This window comes from Homo sapiens, chromosome 14 (assembly GCF_000001405.40).
Source record: "Homo sapiens chromosome 14, GRCh38.p14 Primary Assembly".
Lineage (NCBI taxonomy): Eukaryota > Metazoa > Chordata > Mammalia > Primates > Hominidae > Homo > Homo sapiens.
In genome coordinates this window covers 50,788,677-50,806,229 of record NC_000014.9, presented here as the reverse complement: position 1 = coordinate 50,806,229, position 17,553 = coordinate 50,788,677, and the positions used below count along the sequence as shown (strand labels likewise).

General features: G+C 42.9%; 1 protein-coding gene across 31 annotated transcripts in view, besides 6 other annotated features; it reads left to right on the top strand.

Annotated features, from left to right (window-relative positions):
* Positions 1–17,553, top strand: part of NIN (ninein) — a 111,741-nt gene that overhangs the window by 25,274 nt on the left and 68,914 nt on the right. For 18 of the 31 annotated variants that reach the window (XM_047431452.1, XM_047431439.1, XM_047431453.1 and 15 more), the window contains one exon: positions 13,349–13,518. Coding sequence is in view for 26 of the 31 variants with exons in the window: in XM_047431442.1 (XP_047287398.1) it covers positions 13,349–13,518 (170 nt within the window). In the remaining 5 variants the exon portion in view is untranslated. Of the gene's footprint in view, positions 1–11,704; positions 11,795–13,348; positions 13,519–17,553 lie in introns of all 31 variants that reach the window. The other 13 variants (XM_047431450.1, XM_047431441.1, XM_047431431.1 and 10 more) reach the window with 1 other exon arrangement.
* Positions 14,105–14,154: an enhancer, noted in NCBI's record as "active region_8368". NCBI's record gives its function as "activates an Ori minimal core promoter by ATAC-STARR-seq in GM12878 lymphoblastoid cells {active_cell/tissue: GM12878}" and the evidence as "EXISTENCE:reporter gene assay evidence [ECO:0000049][PMID:35858748]".
* Positions 14,897–14,956: a silencer, noted in NCBI's record as "silent region_5727". NCBI's record gives its function as "represses an Ori minimal core promoter by ATAC-STARR-seq in GM12878 lymphoblastoid cells {active_cell/tissue: GM12878}" and the evidence as "EXISTENCE:reporter gene assay evidence [ECO:0000049][PMID:35858748]".
* Positions 15,521–15,660: an enhancer, noted in NCBI's record as "active region_8367". NCBI's record gives its function as "activates an Ori minimal core promoter by ATAC-STARR-seq in GM12878 lymphoblastoid cells {active_cell/tissue: GM12878}" and the evidence as "EXISTENCE:reporter gene assay evidence [ECO:0000049][PMID:35858748]".
* Positions 16,101–16,210: an enhancer, noted in NCBI's record as "active region_8366". NCBI's record gives its function as "activates an Ori minimal core promoter by ATAC-STARR-seq in GM12878 lymphoblastoid cells {active_cell/tissue: GM12878}" and the evidence as "EXISTENCE:reporter gene assay evidence [ECO:0000049][PMID:35858748]".
* Positions 16,541–16,590: an enhancer, noted in NCBI's record as "active region_8365". NCBI's record gives its function as "activates an Ori minimal core promoter by ATAC-STARR-seq in GM12878 lymphoblastoid cells {active_cell/tissue: GM12878}" and the evidence as "EXISTENCE:reporter gene assay evidence [ECO:0000049][PMID:35858748]".
* Positions 16,631–16,680: an enhancer, noted in NCBI's record as "active region_8364". NCBI's record gives its function as "activates an Ori minimal core promoter by ATAC-STARR-seq in GM12878 lymphoblastoid cells {active_cell/tissue: GM12878}" and the evidence as "EXISTENCE:reporter gene assay evidence [ECO:0000049][PMID:35858748]".

The window sequence follows — 17,553 nt, the reverse complement described above, 5'->3', positions numbered from 1 at the left end:
CTAGAAGAATGCTTAGCATGTAGTAAGTATTCAATGAATGTTTCGAAATAAAAGACTTAATATTATACTTCACTGATTTTTTTCTAAGCACCATAGGTTGTAAGACACATTGTTATTTCATGTATCTCTAAAAACAAAAATTGTTGCCAATTGTAATGTAAAATGACATTAATTGTAAATTCTCATTTCAGAGTGTCTAAATCTGGTGTGTGTAGGGGGGAGGTGTCTTCAAATCAATGAAATATGGTAGATGTGTAAAGGAAAGTCTAAAAACTGTGGAAATTTATATTACAGTACAGTCTGGTTTTATCAAATTAGTGGTTGTTGGGGTAGGGGCAGGAGTTGACTACAAAGGGGCATGAAGGAATTTGGGGGACAATGAAACTTTTATATCTTGATGGTGCTAGTAGTTACAGGATTGTGTGAGTTTTTCCAACCCAGAGACTTGTGCAATGAAAGGATTAAATTTACTCTATGTAAATTATACCTCAATAAACCCTACTTTAAAAAAGAGAACATCAAAAATATAGTCCAGTTTTGAAACTGAGCATAAATCATTAAGATTTTGTCACTACAAGGAGTCATTCACTGTGACCTATTTAGGTGAGGCACAGATGGGAGCTCATTTCTCACCCTTGCCGGGTGATCTAGTTCTTCATCCTGCCCTCTGAAGTGCTCCAGATTTGTGTTGTGTGTATGGACACTGCCTTTAGCAGTGTTTTAGGTTCTGGATTGAGTCTCCGCCTTTTTCGGGGATGGTGACACCCCTAGCAATGTTGTTCTTAACTCTGATACTTGATAAAGCTCTTTGGAAGCCCCCAGTGAGCCTGAGAGGGAGGTTATTGCATTCTTGAAATTTTCCAGACAAACATTAGCGTTTCCACAGGTGACCGCTGCTAGAATATGGACTTTTGTGTTTTTATATGGTCTCATTTTATTGGTGTTTTCACTTTTTTAAGGTTGTCTGTCATCTTGATGACAATGGTGCGACATCTGGGGGGCCTGAATAGAGCTATGGTTGACATCACCGCCAGGGTAGATATTAGCTAACGTGAGCATAGGTAATATAAGCATAACTTCAGGGTTCTGTGTGCTGATAATGTGCTTTTATGTGGATTTGGAACAGGCGGTCCTGCCGCTAATCCACATGATCCTCCTGCTGCCATTTCTTCAAAACCTGTACTGTCACTGTCACCTGCCAGAAAATTATAATAAATATACAGATTATAGTGACTACAGATGTGAAGGGTCCCCGCACAGAGTTGTACATTGTTGGGATCCGAGCAGTAGGATGAGCTAGACCACGCTTGTCCAACCCACGGCCCATGGGCTGCATGTGGCCTAGGACAGTTTTGAATGCGGCCCAACACAAATTTGTAAACTTTCTTAAAACTAAAACATTATGACATTTATGCATGGACCTTTTTTTTTTTTCCTAGCTCATCAGCAATCATTAGTGTTAGCGTATTTTATGTGTGGCCCAAGACAATTCTTCCAGTGTAGCCAAGGGAAGCCAAAAGATTGGACATCCCTGAGCTAGACAATGGCTGGTTGAGCTTGGTCCCAGCCAGGAAGTAATATTTATAAATCTGGCTCCAGATGGTGGTTTCATAGTTATGTGTCTGCCTCACTGCTATGCAGGCAAAGATCATAATTTGGACAAGTCTTCCGGGAAGACACACAGAAGGGATTTTTATAGTTTTGCTGTGTGTTCCATCCTTTGGGTAGGCAGTAAGTCTTCGTCACAAAACTGCTCCACCTCAGTGTAATGCAGCAGAAAAGTACTTATTGATAGCATTTCTTGTAGCATTTATGACTTCCCTAACATTTGTCCTGGCAGGATAAAACCTAGGATTGAGCCTGTGCTTTGAGACATGAGTCAGCCTTTCCTCCCACATTCCCTGCTTTGTTCCTGAGCATCTCTGCTTTTTCTGTCTTTTGCCAATTTCTCCTTGGCCCCTCCAGTTGTTCGTGGGGATCGTGCAGTTCTTTCCACTCAAACATTCTTCCACTCACTCTAAAATGTGACTCTGAGCTGGGTGCGGTGGCTCATGCCTCTAATCCCAGCACTTTGGGAGGCCAAGGTGGGCAGATCACTTGAGGTCAGGAGATCGAGACCAGCCTGGCCAGCGTGACGAAACCCCGTCTCTACTAACAATACAAAAAATTAGCCAGGTGTGGTGGCAGGCACCTGTAGTACCAGCTACTCAGAAGGCTGATGCAGGAGAATTGTTTGAATCCAGGAGGCGGAGGTTGCAGTAGCCAAGATCACGCCTCTGCACTTCATCCTCGGTGACAGAGTGAGACTCCATCTCAAAAAAAAAAAGAAGAAAAAAGAAAAAAAAAAGTGACTCTACCCCGCTGCAGGCAGACTGGTTTGGCTGGGCAGAGACAGAGGAAGTAGGGTCAGGATTCAAATGCAGTACATCAACAGGCCACCTTCATTTACCTCTCCCTCTCCCTTTATGGAAGTAACTATCCCTTAAATCATAGATCATATAGCATTTTAGGGCTGGAGAAAACCCTGCCATTTCATCCATGAGCAATTAGAGGCCCAAAGAGGGACGTAGCTTAATTGAAGTCTTACAGCTAGTGGCAGAGGAGGGGCTTACACTGTATCACCAAGGGATGTGATTCAAGAAGGCTTTAGGTTGAGGATTTTAGCTTTCAAATGGGTGAGCCAGTCTTCGGTCAGTGCAGCCTGGCCAAAAGGGTCTGACAAGTGGCCAGAGGCAGCAGAGAGGAATAAATGAAAAGCAAGTTTTACCTGATCGTTAGGGACAGGGATGCCTGTGTCCTCTGCATTATTTGGCTGGTTATGCTTAGTTCATCTTATACCAGAAGGGGCCAGGTCTGTGTTTTTGTTTTTGTTTTTTTGAGATGGAGTCTCACTCTGTTGCCCAGGCTGGAGTGCAGTGGCACAATCTCAGTTCACTGCAACCTCCGCCTCCCAGGTTCAAGCAATTCTCTGCCTCAGCCTCCCAGGTAGCTGGGATTACAGGCACCCACCACTACGCCTGGCTCATTTTTTTGTATTTTTAGCAGAGATGGGGTTTCACCATTTTGGCCAGGCTGGTCTTGAACTCCTGACCTTGTGATCTACCTGCCTCGGCCTCCCAAAGTGCTGGGATTACAGGCATGAGCCACTGCGCCCGGCGAGGTCTGTGTTATTTTTGTTTTGCCTTTTTGAAATCAATGGAGATGGTAGTCTTTGAGATAAAAGGTTACCTTTACACCATAGAAGGAGACTGAAAATAAAAGGGGGACCATAGTGCTCAGCCTTAGAAACCAAGAGGGCCGTGAATTGATATTTTATAACACCAAAGATTTTTATAAATTAAAATATAAGATATTGCACCAGACTATAATATAGAAAAGTCAGCTTGATTTAATAGAGCCACCCTTGAGTGAGGAGTTAGGAAATGCTGGTTCTGTCCCTCTAATCAGGTGATCTTATATATCATGACCTTAGTGGTCTTTGGTCACCTTGTATGTGAAAGTGGTTGTGCTGAAAAAATACATAAAATCCTTCAGCTCCAAGATTTGATGGTGTTGCCTCCTAATATCTAAATGACATTATCCATATCTATGAAGAATGCTAGCCTGTGTTTATGTAAGATTTTACTTAACATTCATTGAAACTATAAAGTTCTTCTTCCCAAGGACAAATGCATAGTATATCTCATGTTTTTATAGCCTCCTAATAAAAGGCAGTTGTATATAAATTCTATAAAAACAAAGCTCTCATGGGATTTGAGAGGAGATGAAATTAAGTTATTTCTATAGTCTTGGGCTCTGCCATTTATAACTCCTCTGAGGTACAGTCTCTTTATTTTTAGAATCAGGAGATATGGACTAGATTATTTTCAGCATCTTTTTAACTCAGATATTTATAATTCTAAGAATCTTAGCGTTTTTCCCCTAAAAAGCAATTTTTATAATAATAACAACACAGTGAAAAATATTGAAATTCAGATAAAGGCAGAAAAATGGATTGGGATGTAGGAAGTCTTTTGTAAATTCCAAACTGATTAGCATTGCCAGTGGCATAATTCTTTCATATCTATGTGTACAATCTAATTTTTAAATTATTTTTCTGGAATAGGAGAGGGGCAACAACTTAATTATTAGCTATTTATTCAATTTGCCGTGGCTTTGGATTATAGGATTTTTGTAATGGAAATGCTGGCACAAGCTCCAAGCTACATGGCATCAACATGCCAGCTGGATCCTCTCTCCAGAGATTTTGTCCTCATTTGATGCATCTTGCATTAGATTTCTGTTCTTTAGTAGATGTTAGCATAATGCAGGAAGCTCTTTCTTCCTTGATGTGATTCATTGGAAATGTCTCTTTGTTTATTCATGGGGAAAACCTCAGGTTTGAAAAAGCCAACTCATTAGAAAAATAGGACCAGGCATTGTTTTGGTACAGATGATTGTTTCATTGTAACAGACCTTCCTAGTTTCAAGGACTGCCATAATTGTAATTATTTTCTTTATATTTTGAAGAAGTGATACATACAGTTAACAGACATTTTTTCATTTACTCAGCAATTGTGCCTTGAACCAGGTCTTATGGCCTGTCACTAGGCTAGCTATTGATTTCAGTGATTGAAGATTTGTGTTTATAACTATGTTCAGAGGCCTTGGGTTAGGCACTGAAGTCTGGCTGAAGTCCCTGATTTTAGGAGATATTACACACAGATGGCCCAAAGGCTCGTTCTGTTGTCTTCTGTTGGTTAAGTAAGGTAAGTAAGAACTTAGTCCCTGTTCTGCTGGCATCAATGAAATGCTAACAGTGAGGACCAGAAGTTTTCTCCAAGAGTTAAAAGCAAAACAGGCTGGGCACGGTGGCTCACGCCTATAATCCCAGGACTTTGAGAGGGTGAGACAGGTGGATCACCTGCGGTCAGGAGTTTGAGATCAGTCTGACCAACATGGTGAAACCCCGTCTCTACTAAAAATACAAAAATTAGCTGGGCGTGGTGGCAGGCGCCTGTAATCCCAGCTACTCGGGAGGCTGAGGCAGGAGAATCGCTTGAACCTGGAAGGCAGAGGTTGCAGTGAGCTGAGATCGCACCACTGCACACCAGCCTGAGTGACAAAGCGAGACTCTGTCTCAAAAAAAAAAAAAAAAAAAAAGCCGGGCGCAGTGGCTCATGCCTGTAATCCCAGCACTTTGGGAGGCTGAGGTGGGATCACTCCGGATCACAAGGTCAGGAGTTCAAGACCAGCATGACCAACATGGTGAAAGCCCGTCTCTACTAAAGAATACAAAAATTAGCTGGGCGTGGTGGTGCACGCTTGTAATGCCAGATACTCAGGAGGCTGAGGCAGAAGAATCGGTTGAACCCAGGAGGCGGAGGTTGCAGTGAGCCGAGATTGCACCATTGCACTCCAGCTTGGGCAACCAGAGCGAAACTCCGTCTCAAAAAAAAAAAAAAGCAAAGAAAAAAGCAAAGCAAACCACTACCACCACCAGTGCCAACTACAACAACAAAAGAGGATATTAGGATTGTGCTTCTAATCCTGAAATTGGAAACACTCATCCCCACTGATGTTTTGTAAAATGATAGAACCTTTCTAGGATTACCTAAGATAATAGGCACCAAGAACTGTAATAATGCTTTTGGCTAATCCATGCTACTCTCAGATTTTATGCTATGTAAATAATTATAGATGTACATAAAAATGTGTGTATAAGGTTAGTCATTTAAAGTAGTGAAAAAATATATATGTTGGGCATCCCTAATCCAAAAATATGAAATGTTTCAAAATCCAAGACTTTTAAGCACCAACATGATACTCAAAAGAAATGCTCATTGGAGCATTTCAGATTTCAGAGTTTGAGATTTGGGTTGTTCAACTGATATACTTCAGATTTCCTAAAATCTGAAACACTTTTTTCTGATCTCAAGCCTTTCAGATAATGGATAGTCAGCCTGTATAAAGCAAGTGAAGAAATTAGACAGTGTATTCATAGGCAAATCGTGCTCTATCTATGTAAACAATGACTAAGTAGCTATTAAACTGTGCTATGAAAGAATACTTATGTGGGAAATTTACTAAGGGTAAAAGGCAACTTAAAAATATGTATATGTGCAAGAAATACTCATGTAATTTAAAATTAAATAAATAGGGCTGGTGAGAATTTTGATAATGAAACAGTTTACTTGGGAGTTGTGTGTGTGTGTGTGTGTGTGTGTGTGTGTGTGTGTGTGTATGTGTATATATATTGTTTGTTTTTTGTTTTTGTGACGGAGTTTTGCTCTTGTTGCCCAAGCTGGAATGCAATGGTGCAATCTCGGCTCACTGCAACCTCTGCCTCCCGGGTTCAAGCGATTCTTCTGCCCCAGCCTGCCGAGTAGCTGGGATTACAGGCATGCACCACCACACCCAGCTAATTTTTTGTATTTTTAGTAGAAACAGGGTTTCGCCATGTTAGCCAGGCTGGTCTCAAACTCCTGACCTCTGCCTGGCTCAGCCTCGCAAAGTGCTGGGATTACAGGCGTGAGCCATGTCTATATTTTATTTCAACCTTAGTGGATATATAAGAAGGTTTCCAAACGGGACATGAGGATGACGGTTTTCTACAGGGAATCCTAGAAAATCAGTGTGTTCCTCTCACATCAGCTCACTGATGCAGGGAAAGGAGACTAATGAGAAAATTGGGGCAAGAATAAGATCAGAGCAGCTCCAGTTTCTGAGGTGACGAACTGGATAACGTCATTACACTAATCTTACCTGTTACCAAAAATTGAGGTTGAGGAACTCTTCAGGATTGAGGACTGAGAGACTCTTGCTGACTGCTCCCATGGTTGCTTGATGCTGGACACCTCTCCCTGGCCCGATGGCTTTGGGCCACCACTGGCTTCACAGGAGTCCCGGTGGAAGGACCAGAGTGTGGCTGGAGCTCCCTGGGCAGAGCTGCTAGACTGATGTTGACCTTACTCCATGAAGCGCCTATTGTTTTCCCTCCTTCCAGATGAGGAAACTAAGTCTTCATGAGGTTCGGCACTCCCAACCTTGATATGAACTCTGTGTCCAGGTCCAGGTCCGTTTGATTCCAAAGCACAGCTCTTTCCCATGGAAAGTGTTATAGTCTATCCGGGTAGGTAATCCTAACGTGTAAAATGCTTTTAGAAAAATGTGACTATGGTTATTATGAAATTGGGAGCCATATCCCAGCACTTTGGGAGGCCGAGGCAGATGGGTCACGAGGTCAAAAGATCAAGACCATCTGGCCAACGTGGTGAAACCCCGTCTCTACTAAAAATATAAAAATTAGCTGGGTGTGGTGGCACGTGCCTATAGTCCCAGCTACTTGGGAGGCTGAGGCAGGAGAATCGCTTGAACCTGGGAGGTGGAGTTTGCAGTGAGCTGAGATTGTGCCACTGCACTCTAGCCTGGCAATAGAGCGAGACTCCGTCTCAAATAAATAAATAAATAGGGAGCTATGGACAGTGTGCATCACACTAAATGTAGAGGAGAAACGGTTCCATGAAAGTGGTGCCAAGAAATTACTTGAAAGAAATGAGTTTTGAGTTCCCCTTGAACAATGGGGAGGGTTCAATTAGGTAAAAAGTGTATCTCATCCTTCTTCCCAAAAATGGCTATAGATGCAGGCATCCTAACAGAGATCTGCTGGTTGATCCTCCTATGAAAAGGTTGGGGAAACAATTATATAATCATTATCAACTCAAAGATTTTATTCCTGTTGACTGATCTTCAATTGCATTAGGACTTAGACCATCCAGTCAGCCCTGGGGCTTGCCTTGCCACACTCATCCACCAGCTTAGGCACCTTCGGGGGGTGGTAACTTTCCCCTGGAAGCCTTCCTCCTGGGCAAGGCTAATCAAAGCCACCCTGTTACTTTTGTGTCCAGAAGCCCCTGTGTTCCAGCAAGAAGCATCATTCAGGTGGCTAAGAACTGGGTGGAGACTGCGCCTAAGATTCTGTCACTGCATTCAGGGAGGAACTGAAAGACCTAATTAAACATCTGCATCTTGTGTGGAGGTTCCAGGAGAGAGAAGTAGTTGGGGAGGGAGGTGCTAATTGGAAAGGGCTTAGTGCACACAGAAGTGTGGTGCGGCTGCTTGCTGGTGATGGCCCTAGAGGCAGGGAGTGCACTGGGAAGCAAAAGGAAAGGCAGATCATGTCAGAAAGCTTCTGCTGATGCCTTTTTAATGTTTAACCTTTCTTGGCCTCCCCTTCTCCCTTCCCATCCTTGAGACGTTCCCCTCCCAACTCCCTTCTTTCCTCCACCCCAGCTCATCTCTCCCCTCCTCCTCCTCAGTCTCCCACTCCACTCTTTCCCTTCCTGGTGGTCTTCCCACATCTATATCTCTTGCTCCCCTTCCCCACCCCTCCATAGGCCTCTAGGTCCCTATTATCTCCTGTTTCCCCACCCACTTCTTTCCCTCTCTTGGTCTCAGTCTCTGTCTCATTCTCTCTCCATATCTGTCTCTCTGTGTCAGTTTCCACTGGTCTCTGTCTGTATTTTTCTTGGTCTTAGTGTTCCTTTGGATTTTCTTCCCTTCTCTTATTTAGAATCAGGCGTGGGTTTGCATTTTCACTGTGTAATCCCTGTGTGATGGTGCATTCAGCATAGGCGAGGAGGTGGGATGTAGAATGGGGCAGGGTGGGGCTCATTTGCTGCATGACTGCCTTTTCCCAAGAAAGCTTCTTGGGGATGCTGGCCTTGAGGTTTGCACATGCTTCATTTTTTACCTTTCCTTTTCAAACGGATTTCAGCATTCCTGTGAGCTCAGCAGCAATGTAACATGAAGGGCCTCCTGTGCTGAGGTTCTTTGGATGGGGGTGGTGTCTCTGGGAATGATTTCCCAGGCTCACTAAATGAGTCAGGAAGGGACATAGAAAGCAAAGTCCTATGCGAGCAATTCCAAAATGAGAATACCAGCACCCTAACGACAGGGTTTTCTTCTTCATCCTTGGAAATGGCCTCAGGTCATTTTTGGGAACAGGGAATTTTTTGATTCAAAAAACAAGTTAAAATATCCATCTTCTTCCTCAATAGGTACAACGTAATGTTTTGCCTATGGCAGGTGTTTGGTAAATACGCTTATGTGTTAAATGAATCTGCCTAACACTGGGGAGCATCTTTGAAAAATCTCCTTTAACTTCCAGGAAGCAGCTATGGCTGCCACTCCATTCCAGGTCCTGAGCTTATGTTTTTGCAAAGAAAGCATTCAATTGAATATATAGTGTTCAGGCTTTTGCATAATGATTTTAGCTTCCCTTAGGTCCTCATTGCTTTGGCTTTGGCTGTTCATGCAGTGGTTTTAGGAGAGCTGAGCATTTTAAGCAGTGACCTGTATCACATCTGATGCAGATGTGGTGATCTGGTGCAGTGGTCAGTTTTAGGGGAGAGCTTTAAAAAGTGTACTCTGTATTGCTTGAAACCTGGAGTAGGGGAGGCTGTGTTTCTCCCCTCCACACTGCTGCTGGGAAAGGAACTGGGAGAGGAATGAGGCGGGTGTTTGTTATTTCCCCTGGCTGCAGCTGGCTTATCTACTCTGAGTGGTCATTCTCCCTGACACCATATTTTAACTTTCTTTTTATTATGAGTGCAAGACCTCTGGTCAAGCATCATACATGTGCATGGTGGTTTATCCTGATTTGGAAGGGGAACATTATCGAAGCTCTGGAGTTTCTCTTCTTGGGACAGATGAGATGTGAAATAACAAATGTGGCGTGTGAGCAACCCAGCTGTCATTTCTAAGGCCCGAAGGCATAGTATTTTCTTCATCTTTTTAACTCTCGAATCAGATGTTTTCCCCACGTGCTCTGTAGAGACTGTCACTCACTTCCACATTACTCCAGTGGAGGGTTGAAGCAAGGTTTCTCTACTGTCCCCTGCTCATAACCAAGCATTTGGCTTATGGAATAAAACCTAGATCATTAAACTAGGTCAGGTTGGACTGCCTCAAAGCCACCTTCCTCTGATTGGTGTGTCTCATAATAAGCTTTCCAGGGATGGGGTCTGAGACACCTCCAGGCAAGCTGGGCTTGTCTGCTTTCCTTTGAAGCCCACTTTAATTTTTGTAGTGATGCCAAATAGGAGAAATGGAAAATGGGAAAGAAGGAAAAATGACTCAGAAGCTTAACAATCCAGGGAGAATCATAAATACACTTTCAAGGAACTCAAACACTGAAACACTGAAAGCATGGCAGTCATTTATACTTTGTTTTGATAGCATTTCTTTTTGTTTTGTTTCGTTTCTGTTTTTGAGATGGAGTCTTGCCCTGTTGCCCAGGCTGGAGTGCAGTGGCGCAGTCTCGGCTCACTGCAGCCTCTGCCTCCTAGGTTCAACCGATTCTCCTGCCTCAGCCTCCCAAGTTTCTGGGACTACAGTCACGAGCCGCCACGCCTGGCTAATTTTTGTATTTAATAGAGTCCAGGTTTCGCCATATTGGCCAGGCATTTCATGTCCCTTCTTGGAGCTGGTGATTGGAGCAGATACTCTCACCTGTGGAAGCTCTGTGATGTCAATAATTTCGTTTCTTAATAAACCAAAAGCCTCCATGTTATCTGACATAGATAAGATTATTCCAGAATGACACCCTGAAAAATAAAGGTTCCATCTGGATGTGCTCAGAAAGTAAATAAACGTAGCCCCAGGGTTGCAGTTTTGGATCTCTTCCATTAGGCATGGTCAGAAAGGGTCAAGGCATTCTTTAACTTGAGTGGGTAAGAGTGTCTTATAATCCCCATGGTTCGGTGGACATCTGCTGTTCAGTTCTAAATCTCTGATTGAGATTGATGAGGAGAATCATAGTGTTTTCAGCGCTTAACCTAGCAAGGGCTGTTGACCGTGAATGTTCTCTCTGAACATCGTTAGCTTTGCTGTCTCTGTTCCCATCGTATCATGTTAAGTGCAATGAGGCGGATGCTCTAAATGGGAGAGGGATGTCTGAGTGTGTCATTCTTAGAGGTGACTATTTTTAAATGGTGTGATTAGTCCACTTCGTTATTGGTCACTTGCATGGTTTGGAAAATAAAGTGATGAGAAAACTTTAACCCATTTTTCTTTGTGTGTGCTAATGTCTTTATTCCAAAAAGGTTACATAGTTTAATAGATGTCTCTAGAAATTGACTTTATCATGTTCGTACGTTCTATGAAGGATATTAACTTAAAGTTTGCTTAAATTGGTTATTATAATAAGATAATGAAATAAACAATTTAATGCCTGGCAATGCAAAAATAAATGAGTAAATAAACCAAAACTCCACAGGGTCCCTGCTGGCTCACAATCTGTTACCTTTTATTGCTTAGAAAAAGAGCTGTTTTGAATCCACCACTGCATCTACCCTATGCACTACGTGGGGTAGTGAGTAGTAAACAACCAGGGAACCATTTCATCCACCGGTAGGTTTGGGATTAGATCACAATGGATTTTTAAAAGATAGTTGTTTTCTCCCACTGCTTTTTTTTTTTTTTTTTTTAACCTCTGAATAAGTGCAGCATGCAATAAGAGCTCCTTCGCCACTTCCATCCCCAGGACACAACTTTGTTCTTATACTGGGAAAATACTGTGGTTCATTATCCAAGGTTCTAAGTGTTCCTTTTAATCTTTTCCAAACCCCTATAGTCACTAATGGTGTATCTTGTTGTCTGCCACCAAAATTTAAGAATATGTAATAAATTAAGGATGGTTCTGCATTGCCTCTTATCTGACTAGCATCTGTGGGTGTCAGCTGCCAACAAGTAGCTCGGGTGTCTGGGCCGCTCCTGAATGGTCACAAGCTGACACACTGTCTTCTGATAAAAGGTACCTTCAAATATGCATGCAATTTTCAGTATAAATTTTGTATGCTTAAACACTTCCTGTAAGAGAATCACTCGACCTAATAAAATGACTTCACTGGGACTTTTTTAAAGCTGGATATAAATATCACTAGAAATTATATAGCTACCATAAATACTTCACTCTGAGCTTTGCTGAGCATGTTCAGAATGTGTCTGGCCACATTTGTGAAGATAGTGAAATCCGAGCTTGTCCCAGAGGGAAGGACATGGCGGGGAGGTGTTTAGTCAAAGAGGGTCGCCAGTCCTCCCTGGGAAACTGTAAAGTAATGGCTAAACCCCAGCATGGTTTCAATGGTGATAAAGGAACGGTCGTTCTTTTAGTTCTTATCTAATCAACTATTGTCGTTTTTATAATACGTGTACATAATCTCATTTAAAAGTCTACATGTCTGAGTTCAGACATACCTTGCTAAGACTCATGTTCAAACAGAATACATATCTGTTCTCGAGAGAGTATGAATATGTGGACAGCAAGACAACAGAAATCAAAGCATTGTCATCTTTTGTACTTTAATGAAACATTTTATTCTGATGCTGTACAAGGTGCTAAAAAATCTATAGCTGAGATAACATTTGAATAGAGTGAAGTATTTATTTTATTGCTTTAAAGCTCCAATTGTAGAAAAAGCTTAGCCTGTAGTTGTGGCGGTGGAGGTGGTGGTGGTGGTGGTGATGGCAGTGGTGATGGCAGCAGTGGTGGTGATGGTAACGGGGAAGGTGGTCAGTGTTGAACCTGAGACAAGTGATGTCAAAATGCTGAAGTCCTTCTTTAAGATCAAGAGATGACTCTCACCTCATGCACATTCCTTTTTATTTTGTACAACACCGATGCTTACAAAGAGATAAAATAATACAATTTTTTTTACTGTGGTTTCACATTTGCTATTTTATTTTACTGTTTTTAATTTTACAATGAGATCTTGATGCCGGGTTTCATATACGTAACTAGCTGTCATTAATTGCTTAGAATGTGTTGTGTCCGTTTCTTTGTTTTGTCATCTGCTTGTCTGATAGATCAGAGAGTGGAATGGTTAACAGAGGAATCACTGAGGTAGGGGAGGGTGTTTCAGACTAATTGATGTGGATACTGAGTATACAGTGCTGATTTGGTGTCTGTTGTATTACCATTTTCTAAGACTTCCTCCAAGGTGTCTCTTTGTTAATATGATGTCTCCCCATCCTGCTGGAAAACCCAGCTTAATAAACAGAACAAATGTGACCCCTCACCTTTTCCTGACCTTAATCCTCTGCAATTAAGTCAGATCCCTTGCTGCCATTGTTGGATTGCTCCCGTCATGTGCAGATATATACTCACGGTCCCATAAATCGTTCAGAATTAGAAGGCGTGCTCTGCATCTGACCTGATGGCTCATATACACCCACAGCCACCACAATTGGCAAACAGTGGTGGTTTATTTTGAGGTTGGTATAAGAGGCTGTGTCCGATGGCTGTGAGTGGCAGCTAAGAACTGAGATTCTCATGTCATGTGGCCTCAACTCTTGTCTCCTCTCTCAGACTGCTCACTAGAAGCTCAGCCCAAATATGTTAGAGGTGGGAAGCGTTACGGACGAAGGTCCTTGCCCGAGTTCCAAGAGTCCGTGGAGGAGTTTCCTGAAGTGACGGTGATTGAGCCACTGGATGAAGAAGCGCGGCCTTCACACATCCCAGCCGGTGACTGCAGTGAGGTAAGGAATCGGGCATGCACGTTCATCTGGATCATGAGTGTGGAGCCCCACGTCAGTGCAGCACAGAGACAGGGGAGCTGAGGGGGTTGATGGCACGATGTGGGCTTTTCTCAGTTACCAACTCCTTGCTAATCTTATTACTTGCCTTTTGGACATATATAATGTTTCTATCTTTTGAATGTTTTTACCTCGTTTCAGCTTTTGGAGAGCTGACATTTCTGTGCATGCGTCATGTACACATTTAGAGTTCAGGTATTTCCACATCATCTGAGGTCTCCCACTTCTAGTTCTTGAATATCTCTCTCCTCTATAGCATGATCATTTTTAGTTATTTAAAAGGCGAACCAGCTCCTCCCCCTCCCTTGCCCCAAACTATAAAACAGCATCTGTAGCAGGAAATGAAAGCAACGCGTTCAGGCATTTTGAAAGCCTGCATCTTATCTTTTGTAGTGTGATAAAGCAGCTCGAACACTTGGTTTTTGCCTCAAGATACTGAGCCTGGGGTGCTTTCCAGTGCCCAGCAGTTGCCATGGTTCTTTCTGCTGGATTCCTTGCACCCAGGCCTGTCTCGTTCTCCAGCATGTGGAGAGTCGCCAGCCTCCCTCATCCCCCATCTTTTCATTTTGCATATTGCCATAATCTACCAATAAAGGAGGTTCAGTAACATTTTCTTTATTCTTTCTTTATGGCTCATTTACCAGCATCCCATTTATAGAACATGATTGAAAATGCCATGCTGAGCAAGCTGTAAATATTTCTTGCAAATCCCAGCTCAGACTGGGGCTACAGATATTTCAGATACTAATATAAATTGGAAAAGAAACAAAGCGCCTCAACTTTCTGAAAGTGGTCTGTAGATTGCCAGTGGACTCTGTGTGTGTGTGTGTGTGTGTGTGTGTGTGTGCGCGTGCACCTGTGTGTTCATTGTGGTCTAACATCCATGTTCAGCTTACTGAAATCTACAGGAAGCTTGCTCCCAATAATGGCCCCAGCAATCAGACATCCAGTGTCCTCCTCAACTTTCCAGAATACCCCAAAATCCAAAAATAACAAAAAAGAGCCCAAGTGTTGAGCCCAAGTGTTGGCAATAAATACGGAAATTTATAAGGACACATGACCAGTCTGCTGATCGGGGTCTGCATCATTTTTTTTTAAAAAAACAAATGACACTTGTCCTTCACCACAAGTGAAGCAGCAGTGGCAGAAATGTTATTGAGAAGAGAGGGAGAAAAGCAACTAAAAGAGAGAAGAGAGAAAAAAAAAACCCACAAAAGTGGTATAAGAGTAGTGTGGATGAGAAGTGACAGCTGAAAATAGAAAAAGCCAAAAGCAGAAAAAGCTGAGAACAGTTTCAGGAGTCCTTCTCCTTTCTTGGGTCTCTTTGCGAATTGAGATAGGGGTCTTTCCCCAGTAAAACACATATACTCATATGCACAAAAATTTTACATATACAATCTCAGGGATGCAAGTAATTTACATACTTCAGTTAGTACAGTGTTCGTAATAGTTTTCTTATTGTCAGGAAGGGTATCATAAAGTCTGTTCTATAACCCTGAGTGGTGTGGAATGTACTTCTTTATGAAAAAAATGGTTAAATGTCTCAGTACTTGAGCAGGTAAGTTTTTGTTATTTGGAAAACACTTTTAAGTTTAATAACTCATTTCCCCAACTATTTCAGTCCCCAGGGTATTATTTGGTACTAAGAAAGTAAATGCTTACTTTTTTTTTGACATGAGTTTCTAGTCCTCATCTAGGAATACGCAGAAAGCTGTTGGGCAGAGCTGACTTTGTTGCTGGCAACATGTTTCTTATATCCTTGTTATATGTTATCTACTGGTGCCCAGGGAGATTTACTATTTTTAAAGTGAGACTTTGATTTCATGTATAAATAAAGATAAGAGTTGAGGCCTGAGCCTGGGCAAAATCTTGTGGCTTATGTCTCAGTAAAATGGTATTTTGGGAGTATCATTTCACCCTTGATGTACTTACAACTTCCCTTAACTCCTCCAGAAACCTCTTAGATATGACCTCTTGATGCTATACACAGAAGCTGTAGCATTCACCACCCTCCATCAGCAGAACTGCAAATAGAGGCCCGGAGAGGGTCATTTCTCTGGATTTCTGTTCTCAGCGAGGACTCCAACTGACTCAACTTCGCTATTCTGTTATATCCCACACCAGAGCAATGCCTGTAGGAATACAAGATAACACCTTTGTACCACACCTTTTTTAATTACCAAAAGTGGACTCACACCAAAGCTCATCCAACTGCTTTCTTGCCTAAAAAGAAAGTGTTTTGTAAGCTGAATTGTGCCTGTCAGTTTTCAAATCACTTCATCTCTTTAAAAAATTAAGTTTCAGTGCTGGGCATGGTGGCTCATGCCTCCCAGCACTTTGGGAGGCCAAGGCAGGAGGATCACTTGAGCCCAGGAGTTCAAGACCAGCCCGGGCAACATAATGAGACCTTGTTTCTACGAAACTCAAAAAAATTAACTGAGCATGGTGGTGCATGCCCTTTGGTCCCAGCTACTGGGGAGGCTGAGGTGGAAGGATTGCTTGAACCCAAGAGACAGAGGTTGCAGTGAGCCGAGATCGTGCCACTGCACTCCAGCCTGGGTGACAGAGCAAGACCTTGTCTCCAAAAAAAAAGTAATAGCTTCACACAAGACATTTTCGATGTTCCTGTTGGCGGTTAAAAAAGGCAAAGCCCAGCTTTGCACAGCAGCTGTGGTTATGGGTCACACTCACTGCCTTCACACCTGTGTATGCAGGAATCTTGTGGTACAGCCTTGTCAATGCATCAGTCTTGTTACTTACTGTTATGGCAAGACAGCATTCCTGTTTCTGGTCAGTTTCCATATTAGGCTTAGCAGTTGAGGGCCATTCTGTTGGCCTATAGAAGTTCATGCAATGGGCAGCACAAGCTTGCTCTGGAAACCTCTGTCCCTTCTACAGAAGCTGTGCAGGTCTCTTAGGAGACCCAGTGATCTTGCCTGTTCTAGAGTGGCCCCCAGCTGCAGAGTGTGGGAAGGAAAAAAAATTCTCAATGACGTGTGGGATTGATTTCTTCCTCTTATAATGAATTCTGAATCTGACAGATCTTGTTTTTTGTTTGTTTGTTTTGTTTTGTTTTGTTTTCTTGAGATGGAGTCTCGCTCTGTCGCCCAGGCTGGAGTGCAGTGGCGCAACCTCGGCTCGTTGGAAGCTCCGCCTCCCAGGTTCAAGCAATTCTCCACCTCAGCCTCCCTACTGGCTGGGTTACAGGCACATGCCACCATGCCTGGCTAATTTTTGTATTTCTAGTAGAGACGGGGTTTCACCATCTTGGCCAGGCTGGTCTTGAATTCCTGACCTCATGATCCACCTGCCTCGGCCTCCCAAAGTGCTGGGATTACAGGCGTGAGCCACCGCTCCCGGCCTCTGACAGTTCTTTATTGTACTGCTGGCCGCTTTTTTCTCCCTTTTGGTTGCTGGAAGCCCTTCTGTCTCCTCTCTTTGGGGATGTTGGGAATTTATTCCTTGGGCTCATACTTAATCTCGGGGCTACCAGGCAATGTGGAAAGAGGGACTGGGGCCGAGTCTCCCCTGATGTGACTATTTCATAAGGAGTAATAAGATGGGGATCTGGAGCCAGGTCTTCTTTGTTTTGATTGCAGTTTTCCTTTGACTTCTGGATCCCAGCTTAGGGAAAGGAGGGATTCTCAGCTCACCTTTTTGGACTTCAGTTTCCCCTGCTCTCAGACATGCCTGATTTTTCCTCAAATGACTTTTTCTTTTTGTGATGAAGACAATAAAAGGGCCTAAACCCATCATCCGAAGTTAAAGGGAGGGAAATCTGACTGTTGCTACTCAACAGAAGACTAATTTTAGCTCTAGGTTGCATCAAATAATAATTTTATTTTTCTGAGGATTGTGGAGGAGTGGGCAGTGGAATGGAACAGTGTCACAACTCCTATAAAAACTGTCCCCAAGGGGGCTGGCTTCTAGGAACTCATCCTATAGGGATTAGTGAGCAGACAGTCATCTGAAAAGATA